Source organism: Homo sapiens, chromosome 3 (assembly GCF_000001405.40).
Source record: "Homo sapiens chromosome 3, GRCh38.p14 Primary Assembly".
NCBI classification, from domain to species: Eukaryota; Metazoa; Chordata; class Mammalia; order Primates; family Hominidae; genus Homo; species Homo sapiens.
This window is the reverse complement of record NC_000003.12, coordinates 114,849,851-114,877,669: the sequence shown is the minus strand read 5'-3', so window position 1 is coordinate 114,877,669 and position 27,819 is coordinate 114,849,851. Positions and strand designations below refer to the sequence as shown.

The window sequence follows — 27,819 nt, the reverse complement described above, 5'->3', positions numbered from 1 at the left end:
CTGACCTTTCTTTTGTGCTTATATATATGTGTGTGTTTTAAAAATATTTACATATAAAACTAAGGGATTGGCTTCTTTCCCAGAATTACTGGAAGCACCTTCACCAGGAACATTTGGACTTGAATAATCTCCACAGCAGCATTTTCCTTCTTGAATTAAATGAATTGTAAAATGAATGATTTGCCCAAGAACACTGACTGCTTATTTGGGTTCCTTTCCCGTAGGTTGATAGAGGCTTAGTGGCTCCATGATGTGTATCTTGCTATTTTAAGGTTTCCTTTCCACACTACTCCACTCCAGCCTCTCTAATATGAACTTCTTAATAGAGACCTAGACTATAAGCTCCTTGAGAGGAACCAACAGTTCCTTTTAAACTTTATCAATGCTGTATTCAGTGTTTAGCACAATGCCTAGTATTTACTAGCACTTCTATCTATTTTTTAATAAATGAATGGTTGGTTTTAATGGTTGATTAAGTAGTTATGGGTATGTCAAACACCTTTGTATTCTCTAGCATATAGTTATTGAAACAATTTCTCAGGCTTGCATTTAGCAATTATATAGTAAATGCCTAGTGAAAAAAATAGTTTACCATCCAGTTTCCTTAAGCCAACTGTAACAAAGGTGTTGAGTGTTCACCACTACATTATTTATTGTGGCAGCTATTTCTGGGGCAAAAATGAATAGGCAGCATAGTTCTGTTTAGGAGCAGCTAATCTACTAAAGGTATCAGATAGATATACACATATTTAATAAATAGTACACTGTACTATGGAAGCATGAGATAAAATATTATGGAAGCATTAGAGAGAAAGAGAGAATTTCCAATCTATGGGTATCATAGGTGGTTTCTTGGAGGAAAGTGGAACTGAACTAAGCCTCGAAGTTGGTAAGGAACAGATGGTTGGCTATGGTAGGGTGGAGAAAAGCAGAGTTGCAGAATTCTCTTATGTTGTAGTCCCAAATTAATAGTAATGTACTAGATTTTCTTCTCCTCTCTTGTGAATTTCCAGCAACAGCTTGATTTTAACCTCCACAGAAACACAAATGAGAGCTGTGATGGAAACAATAATTACTAGAGTCCAGTTTTAACTCCAAGTCAAAATTTTAGTCACATTCAGCCCTGAATAAGAAATAAGGCAAAGCATGCAACAGGACTTTATAACTTTTTAATTTTAAGGCATTATAAATATAAATTTTTATTTTATCTTATTTTTTTAGAGATGGGGTCTTGCTCTGTTGCCCAGACAGGAGTGTAGTGGCACCTTCTTAGCTTACTGCAGCCTTGAACTGTTGGGCTCAAGCGATCCTTCTGCCTCAGCCTGCTGAGTATGAGGATGCAAAGGCATAAGAATGACACAATGGACTTTAGGGACCAGGGGGAAAGGGTGTGAGGGATAAAAGACTACAAATTGTGTGCAGTGTATACTGCTCAAGTGATGAGTGCACCAAAATCTCACAAATCACCACTAAAGAACTTACTCATGTAACCAAACACCACCTGTTCCCCAATAACCTATGAGAATAAAAAATTAAAAAAAAAAAAAACAAACTACAGGTGCATGCCACCATACCCCGCTAATTTTAAAAAAAATTTTGTAGAGATGGGGATCTTGCTGTTTTGCCCAGGCTGGTCTTGAACTCCTGGCCTCAAGTGATCTTCCTGCCTTGGCCTCCCAAAGTGCTGGGGTTACAGGTGTGAGCCACTGCACTGAGCCTAAAATTTATTATTCATAATGTATAATATTGTCCATGGTGTGAAATAAAATTTGGGGGATAGGAGATTTAGGGACCTAGAATGGAATACCTCATGTACGTAAAGTGTCTTGCAGTTCACAAAGCACCTTCCTAAATTATTATTTTAATTACAGTTATTGAGGTAGCAGAACTGGTGTTATTATTTTAATTTTGCAGATGAGGGAACTGAGGTTCCAAAAAGTTAAATCACTTAGCCAGGAAATGTCATAGCCAGGTTTTTCTGATAGGTTGTCCAGTTCTTTCCACATGCCTCATTGTCACCCAGAAGCAACACAAGGGAGGGTTATATAGTTCTATATAACTCTCTCTATGCTTCTATACGCATCATATATCTTGTTTTCTAATGTTATTCTAAATATTTTTCATTCACTTGGTTTTATATCCCCATTTTCTCCATTTTAACATGGGTAAAATATGTAAGACCCAAACTGAGGGAGATGTGTATGGGTAAGAAACTGATTATTTTGGTAACTGGTATGGATATGAAAACCATAACGAGTCTGTGGATTGCAAGCATTTTAATTTATTTTCTTGACTTTTGAGTTAAAGAAAAGATTTCAATGTGAAGGTGCAAAATATGCTGCACTGAACTAATCTTGGAGGTAACCAAAGGGCTGTGGGACTAACAGCTTTTGATATTACTTAGTGCTTATTATTGTTATTATTATTATTTCTTTTTAATTATGCAAAGTGCTAATCAGTTTGATTATGCACAGTGCTAATCAGGTTAATTATGCAAAGTGCTAATCAGTTCTTCTTGAAGCACACGAGGAGAGCAGAGGTGCTGGCGGTGAATGGCATAGCTAGATGGGGGTAGTCACGGCAGTCATTCCTTATTAAGATAGGAGTAGACAAGATAGCAAGGGGGATTTATCCATAAAAATAAATAGGAAAAGAAAGAGGACTATGAGCACATGAAAGATTGTAGTTTGGGCAGGACATTGCTTACACATAGAAAGCTCCTCCCCCCTGTAGCATAGTTTGGTTGGATAGTCTCTGCTATATTTTGAAGGCACTCATTTGAAGCCAAAAAGACTGTAGAGGGAAGGAAACAGAGTATTGTATAGCTAGACAAGTTGTCAAAACAACTTATTGTAGTTGGCAAGCACCAATTCCTGGGAGGACAGTAAAGGAAGTAGAATCTAATAGACCTGTACATGAAAAAGGACATCAATAAAGAGAACTGAAAAATTAAGGGAGTGCCATTCTGATAAAATAAACAGGGCCATCTCACTGCTGCATTGTTACTGGGACGGCCGTCTGTGTAGCCTGTTTCCTGAGGTGAACTGAGGGCTGGCTTCTTGGTGCTGGCAGTGGTCTCTATTGAGAGTGGTGATGACGAATATGACAATAAGGGTTTTATGTAATAGCTCCTAGTTGGATCAGCTTTGCTGCTGCTGAAATCAAAGTGAATTTTAATATTAACTTGCAGGTCTGTGCTTATTAAGCTGTGTGACTTCCTGTGAAGATGAGTTTATAGCAATATGTTCATATGTTTTTACAGAACAATCATGATGGTGCTCCCTTAAGAATGCCCTTTGTATTCTGTCCTCCTGTTCTATTCTGTGGTTTGATAAGCTATCAATGAAATGCTGTGATATCTACTTGTTTGAATGTATTCAGAGAGCAAAAAGCATTTCAGGATTGTTTAGTGAATATTCATTTTTTTAAAAAATGTTTTCAGTCCATGAGATTTTTCCTTTACTCTGGAGTTTAAGCAAATGTATACGTTATTTATAAAAGGGAGGGTCTGCTTCCCTCTATATAACCTGACAGAATATTTATTTACCTTTTCTTTTTAAGCCTATGTCTAAGCACAGCTCATCTTCACAAACTGAAGTGGATCTTGATTTCTGGAAATGTCCAAATAATGGTAAGAGTGCTACAGAGGCAAAGTCATTGATGATACCTCCAGAATAGGATGTATTCATAAGTTATTTGTCCAGGCAGTGTTGGTTCTTGGATAAAGACAGGCTTTCAGTTTTCATAATTTCTTTAACCTGGAACAATTTCATTTTAAAATATGAAGAGAATGACATAAATCTTTGGTTTCCAAGGAGAGTCTGGAAAGAAATAGATTGTTAGAGGACAGCGCCCACAAATTGAGAAAGCCTGTTGGGGGCCCTTTGGGAATTTGGCTGGAAAATTATGTTATAAGCAGTCCTTCTGCTCAGCTTCATGGGAACATGGTTTTAGAAATGAAATATTGCTTCTGTGTTCCCCACCCCCCAAAACTAAGACAAAGATGAAATATTCATATTATCCTTTATTTTCAGAACCTTTTGTGTTATTTCTCAATATGTTAAAAAACTTTCCTTAATTCCTTAATGATTCTGCCCAAAGGGTACTTTGTAAATTCTATTCATTGATGGTGTACTAAACTCTTAATTCCTGGTGAAGGCATTTGAAGCCAAAGACCTTGCTACATAAGACATTTATAATGTCACTGGGATGTTTAAAGGAGAAAATCATGTGATCCAAATGGCAAATAAAAATAAATTTAGTAACATCTAACTAAATATGACCAGTTTTCCATTTAATTACATGCTTGCACCCACTTTACACACATTCACATATATGAACCCGTTAATTCCTTCACTAAACCGTGTTATTTGAGCACCTGATTTTTTTTAAGTGCTCACTATGTGCTAGTTATAGTACCATAAACTCTCCTAGATACTGGAGATACAGTTGACCATAAAAGAGACAAGATACCTGGCCTCGTGGAGCTCACTCACACAGGATAACATGATAGTTTCTCATGATATTCAGCCTTAGAAACCAAGCTTTTGTATTTCATTTCTTCTCAGAACTTCTTTTAGCAATCTATATGATTCAATTACTGGGCCTCAGTATCTTCAATTAGTCTCAAAATAAGAGGTAGGACTTGATGGTTCTCAAGGCACCTTCATGTCATTCATATTCACTGTCCTAAAGTCTATTAGTTGATTAGACTATGAAGTGAAATGTATCCATTATTACCATATGAGCAGCCTTGAAATCATACAGAGTTCTTTGGGACTTTGATCTTTTAGGAAATAAGTAATTTCTAGCTAATTCTGTGGACACTACCTCCTTGGATTTAGGCCAAAATTGAATTTAGAAAGGGCGGACTTTGAAATATTCCACAGTTTGAATTTTGGCACTTGCAGTTACTAGCTGAGCAAGTCATAACCAACCACTTTGATCCTCTGATTCCTCTTAGTTTGTACTTCAAACAGTGAGTATGAGTATTTAATAAATACTCCATAGTCAGTCCTTTTTTTTTTTTATTTCTGGCAACTGTAGGCTTCATGACTCTTGTTACCAAAAATGTCTTCAACTAATTCAACTTCCTTTCCCCAAACGTCTTATTTCTGCATTAAGCCATTACTTCAGTTAACTCAGTATTTTCTCTCCCATTACATCTTTACAGTTTTATTTCTTCCTGTTCTCTTTCTTATGTGCTTTTACTTCTCTACTCAACCTGAGTCAACTTTTGGCTACTTAAATTATCATATGTAACATAATCTTGGTTACAACACAAAATGTGTGCAACTATAATTCAAGTCAATTAAATAGAAATATGTTTTCTACATCAGACCTGTGCCGTAGTTGTTTATATTTTTGACTTACTAGTGTACTGGAAACCTCTTGAGTACAAGGGTTGTGGTTTTAATCCTTGTGTTCCCAGTATCTAGCATGGATTCTGCCAGTAAGCATGTCACAATCTAGCAAGAAGAAAGAATTTGAAAGCAGTAGGAATTTTAAAGCAACAGGATATATGATCTGTTAGTAGGAAAGTGGAGATGTTGGGAAAGGCTCATGGAATAGATATTGGGAAGGCTTTATGGAGCAAATAATATTTGAGTTTGCTTATTTAAAAAGGGTACTTATTCTTTTTTTCCTGGCGGGAAGTGAAAGTAAACTCTAGGCAGAGAGAAGATCATGAAAAGACTCATGCATACATAAAGTTGGGAGGAACTGGGACCAGGAGACAGAAACGAAGACAAGAAGGGAAGATTAGGAGCATATTTTGAAGGTCCTATGTGTTGTTTAGTCTTACTTGAATAATCTTAGCTTTCCAAAATAAGTATATATAGTTGTGGTATAGAGAGTGTGGTGTTGCAATAAGATGATCATTAGCTTTTTTATGAAGAAGAAATAATAAGACTTAGCAACTGATTAATACAAGAAAAAAGACAATGAGAGATCATGTCAGAAAGAACATCTGGATCTGGGTTGCAGCCCCACTCCACACTTGATTTGTGACCTTAAATACTTAACTTCATCTTCCTAAACCACATATCTTTTAAGATCACTCACTCACTGATTATTATTGAAGAGGGCCCCTATTCCGGATGCTTTGGATCCCAGAGGTTGAGAATAATTGGTGTTTTTTAAGGAGAAAGATACATTTTATACCAGTAGCACATTTAGCCTAAGCTGGTATTAGGGCATTTGGGAAGATGAAAAGGAAGACATATAAAAGCAATATGTTCTGGCCAGAAAAAGGCAAAAAGGACCCTAAAACTAAAGTAGAGTTATAGCTTAGAGTATCTAAGAAGGCAGAGATACTGAAAGATGTATTTAGCAGAGCTCTGCATTTGGGGGTGAACATCTATCCATGGACCTAAAGAGATCATAGATTGCCCTGATTTGTCTACCCTCTATGTAGGAAGTTAACTCCTGTGATTGGTAACTAACCAAAAAATTAAAAGAAAGGGGAGATGGGGCAGGGGAGATAATAAGAGGGTATTTGCCAGTGGTTTACAAAGCTTTGAGGTGTACGTGTATGTGGTTGGGACAAGGTTAATTTCATGTCAGTAGTCATGGCCTTCTCCTTTCTTGTATCACAGAAAAGACTTCTTCTTCTCATTCTCTTCCATTTCTTCTAAGAACTCTCTTCATGCCAGCTAGGTGTCAAAACTTGGGTAGTGTGGAATTGGGGGAATGAAAAATAGAACTGGAAAAGTGATCATAGGGGAGGGGAACTCAAAAGTGACAAAATTTCACTTGGGTAAAAGGAAGGGGCTAGAGACAGGAAAAATGAGGAGGGAGGAAAGAAAAGTACCCATAAGGGATAGAAGGGATGGAGAAAAGACTTAGAGGTGAAAGTAAGGGTAGAGAGAGACTTTTGATGCAAAGTGGTTGTCCATGTGGAGAATAAAGTGGCCAAGACTAAGAACAGAGATTTTCTGTCTTATTCTTCTTGGTATTTTCTTGAGAAACTGAATGAAATTTGACTTTTTAATATATATTGAGGGGTGTGTGCGTGTGTCTGTCTGTCTGTTTCTGCTTGGCTGCTATTTCTTTGGATCAAAACTAGGGATTACCTGTGCAGCAACTTTGTTCCCACATTCCCACCACCATCACCACTGAAGCAAGGCTCAGAATTTTCAGTCCTTTTTAGTCAGTAGACTTCTGTGATTAATGCTCCATTAATCACTTGTTCTTCGTATTAAGTATAACCCCATAAAAATATGGGATTGGAGGGAGAATGGTCAACCAGTATGTGATTCATACTAGATGACAGTCCTCTCAAGATGGCCCTAATTTCTTGTGCATTTCACCTACATGCTGATCTTAATTCATGTGTTTTTACTTGATAGGGGTCAGATGAACAAAGTAATTTCATATTAACTATGACAAATTTGTGCATAGGTGAAAGAAAAGACCTCTACTTTTCAGACATTATTATTTTCTGGAATAATCTTTGGGGATTAGGTAGCCAATTAATCAAGATCCCCATAAGAAATGTTAGCAAGTAAGACAATATCCAGTAAAACACTATTAGCCAACATTGTTATTCAGGAATTAAAGTTCAGGTAGGATAGCTTTGGCATCATGAGATTATTCTCTGTGAGACTGACCTATTGCCAATGACGTATATGTACATGCTTTAATTGATGTGTGGGAACTTGGTGCCACCCTACTGCTGAGATTTCAAGGATTGTGTGAAGATTTTGTGACAGTAATTACACACTTTTTATCAGATAGATTTTATGTATTATCACATGTCCAATTTAGAAATTTTCCTTTGTTTTTATTTTTGGCATTAAAAAAGGAATGCATACTTCATAAACTTACATTTTTGCTATTTGTTTGTAAGAAAGGAATTCCAAGTGGGTTATGTAACATTAAGCATATGGCTACACAAAGATTAGAAAAGCTGTGGCCATCAGGAATAAATATTGGTGATAACACTGATGGGATTTCACACATATAGTTTATTGTGAGAAAATCAGAAAGACTTGCACAGAACTTAGATAAGGAAATAGGCTTGTTTTTTGATGAAAATATAAAAGGAAGCATTTGTTATTAACACGGTAGGCTTTGAAATTTGGCTTTCTACTTCCACTTAAGAGGAAACACCTTAAGTCTGATGAATTTTTTCCTATGGTAGACAGTACTTAATCTAGTATTACTAGATTAAACCCCTTAGTAATCAAACATTTTAAACCAATAAAATATCTCTGAAGAGCAAAATGTACCACTGCTCCAGATTCTTCCATGATGTCAAAAACATAGAAGCAACAAATGTGGACCTGATTTAGTAGTCAAGGGAAAATATGATGTGATGGAGAATTAATAAAAGACTATTTTAATATTGGGAATGAAAAACTACCACAAATCTTAAGGGTTTACATTAGCAGAACTTGGTTTGGTTTGAGTAGACTTAAAACAAGATTTTGAGCGAGCTTCTAAGGAGTTTTGAGGATCATTTTTTTTCTGTCATGAATTTATGCTACATAACAAATGCAGAAATTGGAGAAGTGTAAATCTATCATTTCTTTTGACATTTATGTAGCTTCAGTAACCTCCTAAGTTGAGATCATTTGAGATTTTTAGAACATGGATACCTCTAGAAAAAATGAGGAGGTTCCAGTAGCTCCTCAGAAATAGCTTAGCTTCACATTGAAGGAAGATTCATAAGGTCTTTATGGAGCAAAGATATTTGATCAGAACAAACATTCTTATCATATGGAACCTTTTTCCTGCAAAAAAAAATGACTGTTAGGGTAATTAAATTGGTTATTTGCAGCTTCTCTCCTTTCCCCTCTTCCCTCTTCCACCTGCACAGTATTGTTATATTGAGTTGCCATGATAAGAGTAAAAAATAATCAAACCAACCTATACACATTTTTATTATGAACAAAAAATACTTGGAAGGATTCTATTGATACAAGCTAATGCAAGATAATAATTTGTTTATTCAAAAGTGTTTTGAATGTCCTTTTCCATTGATCATGTGCAACTGGTATAAACAAAGATCCTATGTATGGTAGAGAGCTTATATTTGCATTTCTTTGTATATTTAAGCATTTTTAGCAGACTTACATTTCTGTTTATTGAGAGTACTCTTTAGAATTTGTGCAATCATATGTATATATCAGCAGCAGACATTTGGGTAGGTAGTGAAGGTAAGTTCTATAGTCAGTGTAACTAGAAGATTATATAAATTAATTATATTAGTTTTGATGCTTTGGGTAAAATCAGTGTGCTACATGAACCTCCAGTTACACAGGACAATATACTGTGCTCAAAAGACATGAAGGCAGACTAAGAGTACAGAAAAGCTGTTGGTTTTGTTTGGGGAGTTCCTGGCTTTTTATCCGCTTGGGGAAGGAGCAGGTCTTATTGTCAGTTGCCAAGTGCTCTGATGCTGAGAAGTTTGTCAGCTGTGGTTACTTTGGGGATTTTGGCAATGATAAGCACTTTTCCTTGAGAAAAATCAGCATAGATACCACACATTGGAATTGGACAAATTGCTTTTATTTTCTATTTTCTTTAAAAATCAAATTGGCTTTTCCTTCTTGTCCCAGCTGTTGCAGCTTCCTTGTTTTTTAGCTTAGATGATGGGAGAAACACATGTTCCCTGAGATCCAGAGTAAAGCTTACTTATTTTCTTCCTGTACAGACTACGTGAAGTTACGATACTGGCCCCAAATCTAACTAAACAAAGTTATTCAGAAGAGATTTGACAGAGAGGGTGTCTAACAGGTGTTGAGCTGGGGTAATTGAATGGGTATTTCAAAGATATTAATGTAACTCGCATATATTAGAAAGCTTTAATTGCCATCTCCAGCATGTTTAGACCTGAAAACTTCAGGGACCTAACCTGTTCCATAGAGAAGTCTTTTTATGCCCCTATGGTTTATAGCTGGAAACAAAGTATGTATGTAAGAGTTGGATTGGGGCAGGTGCGGTGGCTCACTCCTGTAATCTCAGCACTTTGAGAGGTGGAGGCAGGTGGATCACTTGAGGCCAGGAGTTTGAGACCAGCCTGGCCAACATGGTGAGATCCCATCTCTACTGAAAATACCAAGTTAGCCGGGCGTGGTGGGGTGCGTCTGTAACCCTGGCTACTCAGGAGGCTGAGTCATGAGAATCGCTGGAATCTGGGAGGTGGAGGTTGCAATGAGACGAGATTGTGCCAGTGCACTCCAACCTGGGTGATAGAGCTGAATTGGTTGAAGTAGTACACAGTAAGGCACTAAACAAACTTGACCTTTTCTATAAATTCCTTCACTTTCCCTGTAACCTGTTACTTTTCAAAGGGAAAGATCACATCTATATTTCTAGTCAGCTTGCTATCATGGTAAGGAACCAAGATTCCCTTCCAGTTAGGGTAGTGGAAGATGAAAGTGGCTTTTCTTCTTGATATCTGGATCAACCTGGTTTTCCTGCCATCTCTTATTTCATAAACAAGCTTATCATCTGACCTAGCTGCAGATCGTGTTTTAAAATTTGCCCCTACCCCTGCTCCTCTCTTAAGAGCCGAGTGCCCACAGAACATTATCCTCCTCATCTGGACCTATCTTTGCTCTTACTGAAGGGGGCTTTTTCATCCTATAATTCCTTTTCTGTTGGCTTTTCTTGGGAAAGCAGTTTAAGAAACATTCATTAACTATTTCTGGGTGTCAGAAACTATGTACTATGTTTCCAGAGAATTGGAACTAATAAAATGTATACCTGTATAGAAGAGATGTTTTATAAGGAATTGACTCACATGACTGTGGAAGCTCACAAGTCCCAAGATCTATAGTCAGAAAGCTAGAGACCCCAGAGAGCCAATTGCGTTAGTCCAACGTATTAGTCCAAAGGCTTGAGACCTGGGAAAGCTAATGGTATAGTCCTAGTCTGAACTTCCTTAGGCCAGAGACCTGCAGAGAGCTGATGTTTCCAGTTTGAGTCTGAAGACAGGAAAAAAAAAGGAATGTTCCAGCTCAAAGGCTGTCAAGCAGGAGAAATTCCCTATTACCTGTGAGAGAGTCAGCCTTTTTGTTCTGTTCCAGCCTCCAACTGTTTGGAGATGAGGGAGGCCAATCTGCTTTACTCAGTTACTGATTCAAATGTTAATCTCATCCAGAAACATTCTCACTGAAGTACACCAAATAATGTTTGACCAAATGTCTGAGCACCCTGTGGCTCAGTCAAGTTGACCTATAAAATTAGCCATTACACCTCCATTACCTAATTTAATCCTGACCAAAACACAACCCCAAACCCCATGAAGTAGACACTATTGGTTATTATCACCAAATTTAATGACTAAGAGTAAGGTGTCTAGAGTGAGATTGCCCTTACTAGAATTCTGTCTTCGCCCCTTACTGTATAACAATAGGCAAATTACTCAACCTTAGTTTCTTCATCTCTAAATCTGGGATGATAACACTACATACTTGGTTGAGTTATTATGATAATTAAATGGAATAATGCATGTAAAACACTTAGCATCGATAACTGGAACATAGCTTAGTACTCAGTGAAGAACAGCTATTATTTAAATACATGAGGAAATAAAGTTTCATAGTGGTTAAGATCTTTGCCCAAGGTCATGTAGCTAGTAACTGGTGAAATTGGGATTTGAACTTAAGCTGTTTGCCTCCAAAATTATGCATTTAATTCCTCTCTATTAATCTTAACACAGAAGTAGAATAATGTAATGGTTAAGCCTCTGGCGTTGGACTCCACGGTTCAAATCTTGGCTATCTCATTCACCAGAAGGCTTTAGGCAAGTTAGTTAACTTATCTGTACTTTAGTTTCTTAATCTCTAAAACAGAAATGAAATAGTATCTTTCCCGGAGTCACATAGAATCAGATCATTTCTAGGGATACTACCTTCATCCATGAATTTTAAATGATATAATTTAAGACACAAGATTTCTCCTTTTTCCTTCAAATTATACTGGTTGTTATTGATATGGGTAAGTAAGATTTATGAAATCTAGTGAAGCACTAAAAATATGCTAACATATTCGTAATGTTACAGATAGCATGGCTTTGCAACAAATTTCTTCAGAAACTTTTTTGAGAGGGAGAATGAAAATGATAGTTTTCATTCAGAATAATTGTAAGTGTCTTCAAAATGAAGTTCAAATCCATGTATAGGAGGTGGAAGGAAGCCAAGAAGGAATCCATTATAAGGTGAAAATCATAAGTCCTCTTTTTGTGACTCTATCTTGCCCGTTTAATAGAAGTGATATAAGTAAGATCTGCCACCTAGGACCAAATATTTCTTTCTCTAGTACTTAAGACAAGAAGACGCAGAATTTCAGAATACTGTATGTGGGTTCTCATCTGTCAACCAAAAGCAGCTGAAAAGGCGAGAGCCCTGGAGAAATGTTTCCTACATATGTATTTGTTTTTAGACAAATGTGTTTGTTTAAAAGTCTAAAAACCATGGAAATGGGTACCATGGAAATGCATAGTTGAGGGGTAGAAGCCCTAGAAGTGTTGACTCAATTCTTGATCCTTCTGTGTGATGTATTAAATGCCACATGCTTCAGTTTGCTGTGTGTGGGGTCTTTCAGCACTATTTATAATAGATGGCAATCCTGTGTGAAGGACATAAGAAAATTTCTGATTCGTTTTTCAAGAGACTAATGAGAAGTTGGTTGTCATCTGGCTGTTGCTTATGGGAGGAAAACTCCAGAGAAAATTATAATGTGTATATTACTCTTCCTTCCAAAAAAATTTTATTTGAGGTTAAAATTAATATTAAGGGCAGCCGTAAAGGGGAAACATAAAATCCATATGCAGATTGAAGAAGTGTGGCAATGAAGGGGCAAAAGTTGGAGTTACCCTCTTGCCTCAAGTGGTTGGAGAAATTGTAAGCCAATTGCATATATTTCAGTCTTAACACTTTTGTATACTTCTCAATTTCTTTTAAAATTTAACTCCGGAAGTCATAGTTAGAAATTTGTCTTCTTTACCAACTTCCTCCATGCATTACCTATCGCCCATCTACCTCCTAAAATTTGGAGTCTTCTCAAAGCAGGCAATATTTGTAGATAGTATTATATGAAAATGTTGGAATCCAGTGAAAATTTTTATGGTAAACATAGATGGAAATGTCCTCTTTGCTATAAGATAGTAGCTACTTTAAGTATTTTTTCCTTTGAATAATGTTGTTCATGTCAATTGCCAAAAAAAAAAATCCTTGTAATTATATGAAAATAAAAAGGAAAAAATACTTAAGAAATAGGAGACCAGGAGGGAAATTATAATTGAATCTGGAAACCATTTTTTTTAACCTTGGCTAAATAAATAAGAAATGATAAGAGGTACAATACAATAAGAAATGAGAGATACTGAGGTTCAAGCAGACTGCTTTATTTAACTCCATTTAATTTTATTGGATTGAATTTGATGGAGACAATGTCAATGGACATATATATGAAGATTGGTAGCAGAATTCCTGGGGCTGTTTTATCATTGTCATGAACATGTACAAACAGAAAGGGAATGCTAAGTAATTCTGAATGTACTAGTGATTTTTAGATAACAGATTTCAGTTTTACAAATTCACTGAGCCAGCAGGTGGAAGCAGATCTGTCACCTGTATCTAGTTCTTGATTTCAATATACTAGGAAAGCAAATACATCAATATCACATTTTTTTCTTTTCTTCCTTTGCCAAGATGTATTTAGGATGTTTTCTCAGCATTACAGAACTCTCAGCTAAAAGATACGTTTCAGTTTCATTTTTAGAGGAAGAAGAAAATGTTAAGTGGGCTGCTAGCAATTTTTAATTGCTGATAGCAATTAAACACCAAACTTAATGTCCCTTGGCCTCTTTGGTTTTCTTATAGAGTGAAGTTTATATACTATAGCTGAAGAATTAGTTTACAAGCAGAAATACTTGTAAAAGCTGCATTTTGTGTCCTACAAGTGAACCCAAAGGAAGTGATATTGCCTTCAAGTAACAGAACCTCTCGGGCAGATTATCAGAGTAAAATAAATTCAGATATGTATACCCCTCAACAAGCTATACTTTGGTAAGTTATGTTTTGACAGAATTTGTTTAGTGGACAGAGGTAGGCCATGTTATTGTCCCACAGGGTAACCTCAAATGAGGTCATTAGCCCTGGAAGCAGTGATTTCCAATTAGCCCATATGTGATAGAGTTGCAAACTCTTACCAAAGACTTTATTAATCTCTAGATAATTTATCTTCTAATACTTTGTGCCCTTCTTTATTTCTTTTTTATTGTAGTGGCATTATTCTTGAACTTATCCATTAAGAGTTGTAACTAGGTTCCAATTTGAAGAAGCCCAGATGAAGCTTCAGATTGTGTTTGTATAGAACAAGTTAAGAACTGGCAATATGAATAACTAATATAGATAACTCAGACATTTCAGAACTAATCATTTGACCTAAATTAATTTCTTAGATATTGGTCAGATTCTCTAGGTGATTTTCAGATATCCCCTCCACTTTATGGATATATGTTGTAATTAATCAGTATACTTACTTTTTGCTATAATGTCCTCCTGGCTACTCAGAAGAAAACCAAGTAATTGAAGCCTTAGTAAATTAGGAGGGTAACATGGTAAAAACAAACAGAAGTCACTGGTTCATAGAAAAATCTTGCCTCATAATTGCATTGTATATGAAGATATTTTCCTCTTATGCCCATAAACAGTAATTTAAGTTCTGAAATAAGGACCTTGTCTTTATTCCTAGAACCTCTTCCAATACCTGGCACATAGTATGTATTCAATAAATAATTGTTGAATAAATGAACTTTATTGTAAAGAGGATCACTATTATCCTAGATTTGGTTATATATTGGGTCAAATAAAATCTCTTCCCTTCTCCTCTGCTTCCAAAAGAAAATGTTTAATATGATGCCCCCAACTTACAAACAGGTTGTGTTTCAAAATTCAGACAGTTTAGTTTTCTGGAACCAAGAAAGCTTCCCTTATTTATACACTTATTGCAACAAATACCAACTGAACCCTCACTACCATCCAGGTATGTTATAGGCTCGGAGCATACAATAGTGAATAAGACACCAAGTCCTTGTTCACATGGACTCGTACACTTTCCCTCCTAGAACTAGATCTCTTAGAACTGTGCCTGGCACAAGGTGCACACTCAATAATTGATAACTACTATTTTTAAAGAATAACCCTACTATTTTCAAGGATGTTTATTCGAGTTTTGAACTGAGCTATCAGGTGACTTCATATCCCAAAACAAAATTTGAATGGAAGCACTAGGTTAAAAAAAAAAAAACAGATGCCATTTTAGGTATGTTCTTATCCTATTTTATTAATCTTCCCTGGGCATCCACTTTCAAAACAGAGGCATCTTACCACTTTAAAAAAAATTATTTACCGTGTGGCCCTGGCAAGTCATAGCCATGTGACTCTCACCTAAAAATAATGAAGATATGATAATATTCTAATTCACAAAGAGAACACAGCAGAACTTAGTAAATTAATGTTTGCACAGTGCTTAGAAATCTGAGGTTGTAATTGCTAAAAGAAATGTACAGAACTATTATTGCTACTAAAATTATGATAGACACTTTTTTCTACCAAAAAAATACCTCAGTGAATTGGTGTTTATATTTTTAAAGTTGTATGCCACATTAAAGAAAATGTTCTATGTGTATCTAAAGGAAAAACAAATAAGAATCATGTCCCTTTGTTATTATGTGATATAAAATTGCAAGGGATTCACTATTTTGGGGAAAGTAAATAGTATTTAAGACCTTATGATTCACCAGTTTGGACAGATGGATGATTGCATCTTCTTACGTAAGTGACAGGTGGCAGCTCTAGTGAAATGGCTTCCAAAGTTCTTCTGATTTTTGCTTCTCTTTCTTATCTGTTCTTTGGCTTGGAGCAAAGTGGCAATGCACTCCAATTACAAGAGTAAGGAGAGTTTTGGAGGGCTGAGGTTTCGTTTTTGGGGGGTGTGTGTGTGTGTGTGTTTGTGTGTGTGTGTGTGTGTGTGGTGTGTGTCTTGTCAGCATTTTGGTTAACTCCATCTATTCAGTAATCTAGCTAAATGGTGGGTAATAAATGCCCCACAGCAACAGGCTGTGATTTCAAACCAGGTCTGAACACATTCTTCCTGGAATAGTTATTCTTCCACATAGACTTTGTTAATTGTCTAGAATGTGAAGGGTCATTGTAGGTGATACCTTCTCTTATCAGCAGAAAATAAGGTGAGGCTTAAACTGTACAACTTAAAGGAGAATAAATTTTTAAATTTTAAGTATTATTTATTTGACAAATATATAGTGAGCACCTACCATATATTAGGCACAGTACTGGACACTAGCAATAAACTAAGGAATAAGACAAAGTATTTGGTTCAAAGAAGTTAAATTTTATTAGGGGAGACAGATAATAAGCAGTACATAATTTCCGGAAAAAAATAAATACTATGAAAAATAATAAAGTGAGATAGGTAGAGTAAAGTTGGCAAGCTATTTCAGATGTGATGGTCAGTGTAAGTCTCCTGAAGAGGTGACATTTGAGGAGAAACCAGAATAAAGAGAGAAGCATGCTAAACCCTAGAGGAAGAGCATTCCAGTCATGGGTAACAAAAGGTCTAAAGGCCCTGAGGTGGGACTTAGCTTGGTGTGTATCAGCAAAGAAGTACTTAATGAGCTTTGAAAGTCTTTACAATACTGAAAAGCCAGACATAGAGGGTTCCATTCAATCTACACATACTTGCCTTATACAACCTGTAGGGTTGGAAGACATGCTTATGAGGCGATTCCCAGTTTCAGATCTTAAGATGTTTTTGTGATACTCTTGATTTTAGTGAAACCATAAAAAAGAGTAAAATGCCTTCTGTCAAGTAGCACAGGACTATGTCTATTCTGATAAAACCTGAACTTTAGTCCCTGAAGATGCTTTTGAAAGAGAATGCCACAAGACAGTTAAAGCACACCAGTAAGATCTCCAGGATGACTGTGAGGGCAGGAAGTAAAGTGAAAGCACAGCACTGCAGGTGCTTTATTTTCACCTTTCTTCCACTTAGAAAGCAACTCTTCTCACAATTATCCTATAGTGCCTCCTACCCTTTGGTTTAACTGACCATGTAAGATGCATTGAGTATGAGGGCTATCTGTTGTAATGACGTAATCTCTAATGTTATTCTGCCTATGGAAATCTCTGATTGTTCTGGTAATGCTGACACTTCTTACATTATGACAACCATTCTTGAAGAGTTTTGTGAAGATTAAAAAAAATTAAGCCACAGTGTTTGATATACTAGGGATTGCCATCTCCCCCATGAAGGCCTATAGCAAATCATTTTGTAAAACACATATTCAGATCCTAATTTTGTTGTAATTTCAGAATTTTTTTTTTTTTTGAGACGGAGTCTTGCTCTGTTGTCAGGCTGGAGTGCAGTGGCACGATCTCGGCTCACTGCAACCTCCACCTCCCGGTTTCAAGCGATTCCCCTGCCTCAGCCTCCCGAGTAGCTGGGACTACAGTCACACGCCAACAAGCCCGGCTAATTTTTTGTATTTTAGTAGAGATGGGGTTTCACCCTGTTGGCCAGGATGGTCTTGATCTCCTGACGTCGTGATCCACCCATCTTGGCCTCCCAAAGTGCTAGGATTACAGGTGTGAGCCACCGCGCCCGGCTGTAATTTCAGAATTATAGATATTGAATGTCCATAGTGACAAACACCTATAAAAATAGAAAACTCTCCAGTACTGTTTTTGGAACCTGAAAGATTGGGTTAGTCATTTATTCTGTTTTGTTGTTCAAACATTGTTTTAAGCCTCAGATTTCAACCTATATATATAGAATAGCAGAGAGGGGATGAGGTCTATTAGTGACATTGTAGTTGTAAAAGTGCAGTTTGAACCTTTGCTTTATTTATGTACATACTGTACTGTCGTTTGCTCTGTGCCTTTATAAAAGTAATCAAAAAAAAGTATTTCTTCACTAGCTATTGCAGTCTTTTATAAAAGACTGCCTTTGCTTAGAGCATGCTATATATTGCAGTGTGGAATATTGGAGGCCATTATAAGAATGTTTGGAAATAGCTTGACCCCTGAAAGATATCTATAAACTCAAAAAAAAAAAAAAAAAACGCCATAAGAAGTTATCTAAATTTCCCCCTAAGTTAGCATGATGAATAGTAAAAGCATGTGGATTCTGAAACAAAAATATTATTTTCTTACTCAAATTTTTGCACCTCCTCCACCAAATTGAAGGAAGGAAGGAAAGAAGAGAGAAACTAAGGGAGAGAAGCACGAGAAAAGAAAAGGAAGAAGGAAGGAAGGAAGGAAGAAAGGAAGGAGAAGAGAGGGAGAGAGGAAAAAGGAAAGAAGAAAGGAAGGAAGGCAAGAAGGAAGGAAGGAAAGAAGGAAGGAAGAAAGGAAGGAAGGAAGAATGGAAGGAAGGAGGAAAAGAAAGAAGAAAGGAAGGAAAGAAGGAAGGAAGGAGGAAAGGAAGGAACGAAGGAAGGAAGGAAGAAAGGTGGGCAGGCAGGCAGCAGAAGGGAGAGGAAGAATTCTCTTGTCATGTGAAATGCTCTTGTGAAATTTTTCAGGCATTTTCTGTTTTTTTAAAAAATATTTTTTTTCTCATCATACAACCTTGAAAGTTGACTGGCTTACTGTCAGATGCATTAACTAAATGCAATTTCTGTTTTTAATAATGATAGCTCAAACTTCATGTGAGATCATACCAGCCATACAATGTAATTCAGTTTATGGTTTTCTTATATACTTCAAATACCTGCAATATGTAGTTAATAGTACTTTTTTTAGATAAGTAGTAGGACATCACAACAGTGATGTTATGGTGGGCTGGTATATGTCAGTAAAGTAGATTCCACTAAAAAATGGAAAATACAAGATATTTTGGTGTAATTTGTCTAAAAATATTCATGACAAAGAAGTCTCTTTTACTTTAATGTCCAAAGTGATAAGATGCTGATGTGTCTGAATGAAGGAAAAGGGTGTGAAGCAAAGACTGCACTTTCTAAGCTGAAGAATGTTTCTGCACTGCACGGAGCTCAAATACAACTTTATGGTAGGGAATGTGCACTTAAGATTAGACTAGTAGCTCCTAAAGCAAATATGATGTCCATGATTTCTTTCAACATCACACACACACACACACACACACACACGAATACACGCACAAGTAGAAACTGCAGGTGCTTCCTTTTTATTGCACTATGTAAAGAGAAAATGTAAAATGGACAAGCTTTCGACAATCATGTTCTCTTCATCAAGCTGTTATTGTTATTTTAGTGAGTCCACTAAAAAGAATTATCTAGAGCTTCTTGTTTTTACTTCTTTGTGTAGTTGATGAATATGATTACCATTTTTACCTCCTGTATTTAAACCCCTCTGCCATAATCCCATATTCTGCCTAAAAGCCATGTCTGTGGGAGCTTGTTCCCTGCAATCGTTTTTAGGGATATAACTGCGTTTAAGCAGGTGCAGTAAATGCAGTTTTGGCCATTTTTACTGTTGTATGCAAGTGAAAAATGCCTAATATAATTAAGCTGAGATTAATAGAGATTATTAGTAAAAATAAGCTTGTTTTATGAATGAAGACCTCACACTAATTCAACATGGCCTTTCTTTGACAAATGCACTGTATTCACTTATGTAGCACAACATTGTATGCCTGAAAAGTGAATAAACATTTACAAGGCTACCTTCCAGAATTTTCCATTAATCGTCTTCTAATTCTTTTCCTGTGGCCAGCAAGAGGAATCCGATTTTATTTTTAAGTGGAACAAAGGGATTGGCCTAGCACCACAAGGGACACTGATTGTCAGAAGCACAAGTTATCTTTAGTTAATTTTGTTACTGAATTGTTCTTGGTTCTTTTTCTCACTTTTAGAATTTTAAGCATCCTATTCAAAATGGCCACCATACAGGGGAGGTGGGAGAGAAGGAAAATAATAAAGAACAGTGGCAACTGAGTTGATTCTGTATAAATAAGCACATTTGCTGCATCTCTGTTCTGCAGTTTTTATGTCCCACTGATGAGAGAACTGGTTTGAGATGTAAATTGCTTTCCTTTGATTGAACCAGGGAGGAGATGTCATGTAACTCATCTCATCAGCATAGAGCATTGTGTGCCTTTGGTGAATTATAGGATAACGGCGCTAGTAAGAATTCCTTAACCTCTCTCCGCAGCCCTGTTCCAGTGCTTAATAACCACCAAGGGGAAGTACTTCCCTACAGTTCACCTGACTACCTTCTGTGGTTTTAGCTTATTTATTCATATCCTGTCCTTAAATATTTTGTAAAGGATCACGGGAAAGTGCCAGTGTTTTACCGTGCCAGATACACCCTGCACATTAAAATATAAAATTGCGAGGAGTTTTAATGTTTGTTTGTTTTAGGTAGAGAGCACTTAGAAGGTGGCTTTGGAAAGATGAGAAAGGTGATGAAGACGTGATCTCAAAGCAATATTTACCATTTATCTCACTTGTCAAGATTTAGGATAAACCTGTAGAAGCAGCTATGCATGAAAATGGAGGATGGGGTAGGAGTAGAGGTAGAAGTGGGGGTAAGAACTCCCTGTGATATCCATGAGATTATGTGCTGTATGAGAAAAGAATCAGGAAGTGGAATGTGAAACAAAAGAACTGGAAATAGGCCTGCAATCAATCTAGCTTGGTATCTCAACAAACCAGTGACTTTTTTTTAATATGTAAGAAATTCAGGGCAGATATTACAGCCCTATCATGACAGCACGGCCTTTTCTTCCTCCTCTTCTATTAAATCTACATTTTGAAGGTGGATGGTGCTGACTCATAAATTAAATTGGAGTAATACATACAGTGTATATATATTTCTGTCACTTTGTCTCAAATTAAACACGAACCTTCTCCCCTGACAAGATGATAGAAAAGTTAATTGCTCGCCCTGGCTTTAAATTGGAATTTGAATTTGCAAAATGCTAAAGGTTTATGAGATCTAAATCATGAGGAGCTTAAATTACATTCCTGTGATAAAATATTAATAAATCAATTAAAACATAAGCCGAGTATAATATTACTTTTTTTTTGTAAGAACCTTGAACACAATAATTCATTAGGGTGTAGTGCAGTAACAATTATTGTATCTTTTTTTAATTTTCTTTTTATTAGTTTTTTTTGATAAATACATCATCAGATAACATTCCACATGGTGGATTATCATTACCCCAATGCAGCTTCCAGAAATTCTGTTGTACCCCTAAACAAGAGCTCACAGGCTGAATTGTCTGCTCTTATTTATCCTTGTTAGCATCAGCTGCTTCTTTTACTGAAGGGGTATTTGCCTCTTGGGAACATCTGTTCAATGCCAACTCTGCCATTTTGTGGTTTCTGAATCTCTCTTCCAAAAATGGGCATAATCATAATAATACTACCTCAGAACTGGCATGAAGATCAAATTAGATAATGTATGTGGAAATCATTTGTAGGTGGTAAAGGACCATCAAATGTTAATTATTATTATCATAGATTGGGGAATTTTTTATCTCTAGAAGGGCTCTTAGACGTCACTTAGTAATCAACCCCCTCATTTTAAATCTGAAGGATCAGAGAGGTCCAGAGAGGTTAAGCCACTTGTCTAATACCACACAGCCAGAAAGTGAAACTGCTGAAACTGAAATTAAGACTTGTAAATCCCACCTCAGGGTGTTTTTCACTCTCTATACCCTAACGCCTCCCTAAAATAATGCTAGGAAGGTCACGTTAAGTTTGGGTTATTTACTCTCGCCACATAACTTTCGCTTTGAAGCTGCTATTTTTCTGTTGTTGTTGTTGTTTTGACTGACTAAACATTAGTTATTTTAGGGATAATTTTCTAAGGGGCCTGGTGGCACAAACACATATCCCCACAGCTGTCAGGAAAGGTTCATTTGGCTAAGGAGGCACTGCCTTCTCCTGCTGCTCCCCAAATGAAGACTCAGCAGTGTATCTTCCTCTCCTACAGGGTTCTGGAGGAAGCCTCAGATGAGGAGAGGTAGTAGCTTTCCTTTTTAAATACTTCTGTCATGTAATGACGGATGAGGATTCACCCACCACGAATTTTATCTCCTTTACCTCCTTCTTGCTCTCTGGCCCTAGTTTTTGGTTTACCTTCCCCTTTCTCCCAAGTTCCAGGAATCACTCGGACATTTTATTTATTTTGAACATAAAGAGAACCATCTCCATAATACCTTTTCCAGAAAATAATAATTGGAAATGAATAGATGTTTCTTCCTTTCATGCTAGGAAAACACTAGCTCAACAGACTATCAGCAGATCAGAGAATAAGAGACTGTGTGCTAATCCTGTTTTTCCTGGTAACATGGGATATATCTGACAAGTTTTCATCATTCTGTCTTTGTTTTCCCTTCCCAACAATAGAAATAACAAAATCAATCTATACTAGTAGTTTGAAGACCTCCATTAAATAATTACGAAAGGTTCACAAATGATAAAGAGTTATACAAATGCTATATAATAGTAATCTGTGATCTTCTAGGAATAAGCTAAGGCAGAGTGGATAAGTTCTATGAGATCTATAACATTTACATACTTATAACACACACATAATTATTGATTGATAGTGATGTGGTTTTTACAGAATATTCGATGCATTATGGCCAAAGAAGATATGGTCTCTGTCGTAAAGATTTAAGATTAGGATAAATTATTTTACAAGAGAAAACAGAAGAAGTTTAGACAAAAGAAAGCTGATTGAAGCAGAGAAACTATTGGAACTATAAGATTAGTCAAGGAAATTAACAAAAAGTAGATTTTAAGGAAGCTAGAGTCTTTGGTGACATTTAGAAAAAAAGTGAAATGATTCATTGAATAAAATAATTACTGATCAGAGTGCAGCAATGTATCCATTGTCAAATGTCATAAAGCTTCAATTAAAAACACAGAAATAAGCAAAATATACTTTTAAGAAGGCAAATGAGATTTGATGAAATCCAAGAACTTCACATATTAGATAGCCCTGCAGGGTATCAGTGATTAAATTCATTTTATGGATAAGGAAACAGATTCAGGGACGTTAAGTGATGAGCACAAAAACACAGTCAGGATTCAAACCAGGTCTGTCTGACTCCAAAGCTGCTTTCTCTTTTCATTACCCTATGCAATCTTTTGCAGCCAATTTAAAGCCACAGAAAACATACCAAAGAAACAAAGACAAAAACTATACAAATGTACTGGAGAAGAGGAGGCGGGAAAACAGAAAGTGTTTTTTCTAGAGGCAGACTCACTGATGGCAATGAGAACTGAAATAGAAGTGAGTACCTTGGCTAAACAACTAGGAAAAAACACACAAAAGAATCATGAAAGTATTTATATAACTTCCCTGTTAGCCTCTATTATCTTTGATAGTAGTGTAATATTTTATTTGGATTATCTTTTATTATTAAGGCTCTTATCATTTTCTAGTTGTTAGTATACAAAGTATTTTGACACATATTATGTCATTTTCCACTCACAGAAAACTTATATTGCAAGAAAGGAAGTATTGCTATTCCTGTTTTACAGATGGGAGAACTGAGGCTTGGGTGGGCTAAATGATGTGTCAAAACTTTATTAATAATAAGTAACAGAAAGAACTTAAGAATCTGGAACTACTCACTCCAGTACATTTCTACCATATCAAGTCACTTATTTGTTTCAGAAAATAGGAACTCATTGTAAAGATTTTCATCTTAAAGTTTAAAAGAAAACTGCTTAAACAGGTAACTAGAAAATTTACTTACAACAAATGCCTCATTTTCCTATTACTCTTCTATTATAGAAAACAATGAAGCATTGCAGAAGCTAATTTTAAAGATTAAAGCAACTCACACATAACTTTGCTACTCACATGAGGTCATTTTACAGATACTAATTGGGGTCCTCTAACTTCTTTTCCACATATACCATGTTATTTGTCATTCTACAATCAAAGTTTTAATTTATAACTTCATCTGGTAGTCTAAAGTTTAGTTTAGATTTTTAAAATCTCCTATTTAAATGCAAATATGCTTATGAGGGGAAATATAAATGGTCAATGAATGTGAATGCTGTAGTTGACACCTTACAACAGGACACCTTACAAGGGATTAGTCCAGGGGTTTAAGGACAAGGACGGGCAAGCACTTGATTGAGAGAAGGATTGGAGAGGAGCTAATAAGTGAAGTTTTGTTTTTGCCATTTAGGAGGCCACAGATGAAAAACTAAATGCAACACTGTCGCATATGTTGCTGTGCAACAAACAATTAAATAGAAAATGAGATGCATATAAAAAAGCCTTTTCTTACAGAAGGCAGGTACACTCTCAAATCAGAAACCATGGGATATTTCGAAATTTAGAACAGGGACAATGTCGAGAGTATTTTAAATATAGGCAGCAGGTAGAACATCCAAAAGTTGATGGACACATGCTCCAGTTACTTACATGCAACAGGAAAGTGTGAGGCTATAGGTGGTCTGCAGAAGGGTTGCTAAGGCTTGTTCTACAACAGATGATAACAGAGGAGGTGGCAGTGAATGAGGAATGACACCAGCCTGCCACATGTGCCAAAAGCAGGATGCATGGGTGGCAAGGTGGAGAAGATAAACCACACCAGCCTTTGCCACTGTTGATCACCTTCAGGAGAAGAGAAATAAGGAAATATTAGATCATGACTTGGAAAATGTATCAGGCAGGACTTTGTGCAAGCCCTTTGGAACTCCCGCTAATCTAAATGGGGAAGACAAGACACTGAGAACACTAAGCAGATCCATATCTCTTGAACAATGTGCACGGTCGAGTTGGTGAGAAAGGTAAAACATAACAGGAAATATGGTACCAAAAAGAAACTCCCTGAAGTCCTCAGTTTACTGTGCCAGCCTCTTTCCTGCAGCAAACAGCTGATAGAATTAACTCAGTGAAAAATGAAAACTAATCAGAAAGGAACCTGCATTGGACCCAGATTTAGCTATCAGCTAAGCAAAGCTAATAGCTTTAAACAAAAACAAAAGCAATACAAAGAAACCAGATCAAAACATATACCACAAGAAGAATTATACAAGAAAATAATATCTATTTTCCATACTAGCAAATAAATAGAAGACATTGTGGCCTCCTTAAAATAAAAGGTCAAGGCCAGGTACGGTGTGGCTCACACCTGTAATCTCAGCAGTTTGGGAGGCTGCGGCGGGTGGATCAGCTGAGGTCGGGAGTTTGAGACCAGCCTGGCCAGCATGGTGAAACCCCCTCTCTACTAAAAATACAAAAATTAGCCGGGCATGGTGGTGGGCGCCTGTAATCCCAGCCACTCGGTAGACTGAGGCAGGAGAATCACTTGAAGCTGGGAGGTGGAGGTTGCAGTGAGCCGAGATTGTACCACTGCACTCCAGCTAGGGCAACAGAGCAAGACTCTGTCTCAAAAAATAAAATAAATAAAATAAAATAAAATAAAATGAAAGTTCAAAAACTAGATAAACAGGATTGAATAAGTGATAAGACAAATAAGGAGAAATAAAATTGTCTGTGAGAGAACAAGAAGGAAGTAGAAGAAGAAAATAAAACTCTAATGGGACCAAAAACCATATAGGAAGCAAAAAGCTGGGAGAGGAAGGAGAAGAACTTCTACTGATATTACCACAATTGTGAATAAGAAAAATCAAGCAAATAAAAATTTAAAAAACAGTTTTTACATGATATGAAAAAGTGATCATTTTGATTGGCAACTCGTATCTCAGACAAAAATAGTATCTCCAAAAAATAAGAGCTCCTGCGAATTGATAAGAAAAAAGACCAATAACTTTTTAAAATTAATTTTTTGCTTAAGAGGCATTACAGAATTTACAGAAAATAAGTATGTATAGATATAGATAAAACAGTGTTCGGAGGAATATCCATATCTTTAAACATGACTATTACAGGAAAGAAAATAATTATAAACGTATTACCATTCATCTCATGAAGTTGGTTAAAAGAACAAAAAACAAATCTGCAAAGTAGAAACAAGGAATTGATTAAAAAAATAAAGTCAGAAGTTAAGGAATTAGAAAATAAAAAAGAGACACACTAATAAATCAAAGAGTTGGTTTTTTCAAAGAGAATAACAGAACAATAAACAAACCAATATCACATGATTTAATTACTAAATGAGAAATCCCACAAATGCACAAAATTGGAAATACAATGGGGAAATAACCAGAGAAATGGAGGAAATTAAAATGATTATAATGAATACTTTATATATATATGTGAAAAATTTGAACATAAGGGATAAATTTTAAGTAAATATAAATTACAGGAAAAGACTCAAGAGAAATACAAAAGAAATTCAGAAAGTTTCTGGGCTACCACTAAAATAAATAAATTGTGTGTATGTGTGTATACCTGTGTGTGTATCTACTAAATGAATAAATCAGTCAACTTTGTAAAGAGACAATTTTATTTCTTCTTACCTCTTAAATGTGTTACCAACTTTTTTCCATTAGCATTGAATAGTCAAGAAAACATCACACTAGATTTCTGTTTTTTCTTGCATGAGTAGATATCTTGTCTCATTGATTTGCTTTACTGAGTCATGTGGAGCCAAGTAGAGAAACAGGCTGACTCGGCATCCCTCACACAGATTTCTTCTGGCTTTAAGGGAGCCACCTAAGAGAGTTTGGGTAGACAGGATAATGAAAACAGCCCTGGTTTCTGGGCTTGGTTCTTTTTATATTGCTTCCTTAAAATATGCAGCATTTACAGCCATTGCTTTGTGGCTTTATTTTTTTTAATCCCTCAACTGAGACATTTAGACTAGATGAGTGGCTCATTTCTTTTCCCAGAAAAGTGTGCCTATCCACAAAATTTTGAGGCTACACAGTCTTCCCAAACATCCTCTCTCCACCTGGAGCTTTAGGCCATGGGTTAGATCATTTTAAATTACTTCAGCTCTAACATTCTACAGCCTCAGGGAATATACAGTTTTAAATTGAACACAAGCTTCAGAAAGAGTGATCGTTATTATGAGAAGCAGAACACAGTGATTACACTTTGACTCTGGAGCCAGACCACCTTAGTTCAAATTTTAGCCCCTTTATTTACATAATGCAGGGCCTTGGGTAAGTTACTTAACCACTCTGTGCTTTAGTTTCCTCGTCTGTAAAATGGAGAAAATAATAGTAATCACTGTAAATAGTAGTCACTAAAAAATAAAGGTTGTTATGAAGGTTAAATGGGTGTATACATATTAAGCTCTTACAGCATACCTCTTAATGAATGTGAGGGATTACTATGTTTCTTACTAGTTAAGATGAAGTATCTCAGCACAGAGATGAACACACCACCTATCTCGCTATGAACACACCATCTACTCCCTATGAAAAATCCTGTTTATATTTTGGTCGTGGCTGAAATATCAACTTTTTCCATGTGAACCTGTAATCGGGTCCATTATTCTGCCATAAAGTAGTAGTTATGAGTGTTGCTATATACAGGATGTTTTGGGAAAGATTTCCTGATTTTGGCCGGGCGCAGTGGCTCACACCTGTAATCCCAGCACTTTGGGAGGCTGAGGCAGGCGGATCACTCGAGGTCAGGAATTCAACACCAGCCTGGCCAACATGGTGAAACCTCGTCTCTACTAAAAATACAAAAATTAGCCAGGCGTGGTGGCGGGCACCTGTAGTCCCAGCTACTCAGGAGGCTGAGGCAGGAAAACAGCTTGAATCCAGGAGGTGGAGGTTGCAGTGAGCCGAGATTGCGCCATTGCACTCCAACCTGGGCAGCAGAGCAAGACTCCATCTCAAAAAAAAAAAAAAAAAAAGATTTCCTGATTCTATTGCCTTAATTTGGGGCTGTTATTAAGAATCTC

At 36.4% G+C, this 27,819-nt stretch overlaps 1 protein-coding gene and 1 long non-coding RNA gene across 10 annotated transcripts in view; one reads left to right on the top strand and one right to left on the bottom strand.

Annotated features, from left to right (window-relative positions):
* ZBTB20 (zinc finger and BTB domain containing 20) overlaps positions 1 to 27,819 on the top strand; it is an 832,789-nt gene that overhangs the window by 269,619 nt on the left and 535,351 nt on the right. Inside the window, exon 4 of one of the 9 annotated variants that reach the window (NM_001164343.2) lies at positions 3,562 to 3,631. The exons of the other annotated variants lie outside the window; for them this stretch is intronic. The gene's annotated coding sequence lies outside the window, so the exon portion shown is untranslated. The remainder of the gene's footprint in view (positions 1 to 3,561; positions 3,632 to 27,819) is intronic. 9 annotated transcript variants of the gene reach the window in all.
* On the bottom strand, positions 1,156 to 4,637 carry ZBTB20-AS3 (ZBTB20 antisense RNA 3). Its single transcript, NR_126422.1, has 3 exons — positions 4,474 to 4,637; positions 3,548 to 3,758; positions 1,156 to 1,325 (listed from the first exon to the last, which is right to left on the bottom strand). It is a non-coding gene; the product is annotated as a ZBTB20 antisense RNA 3 (long non-coding RNA).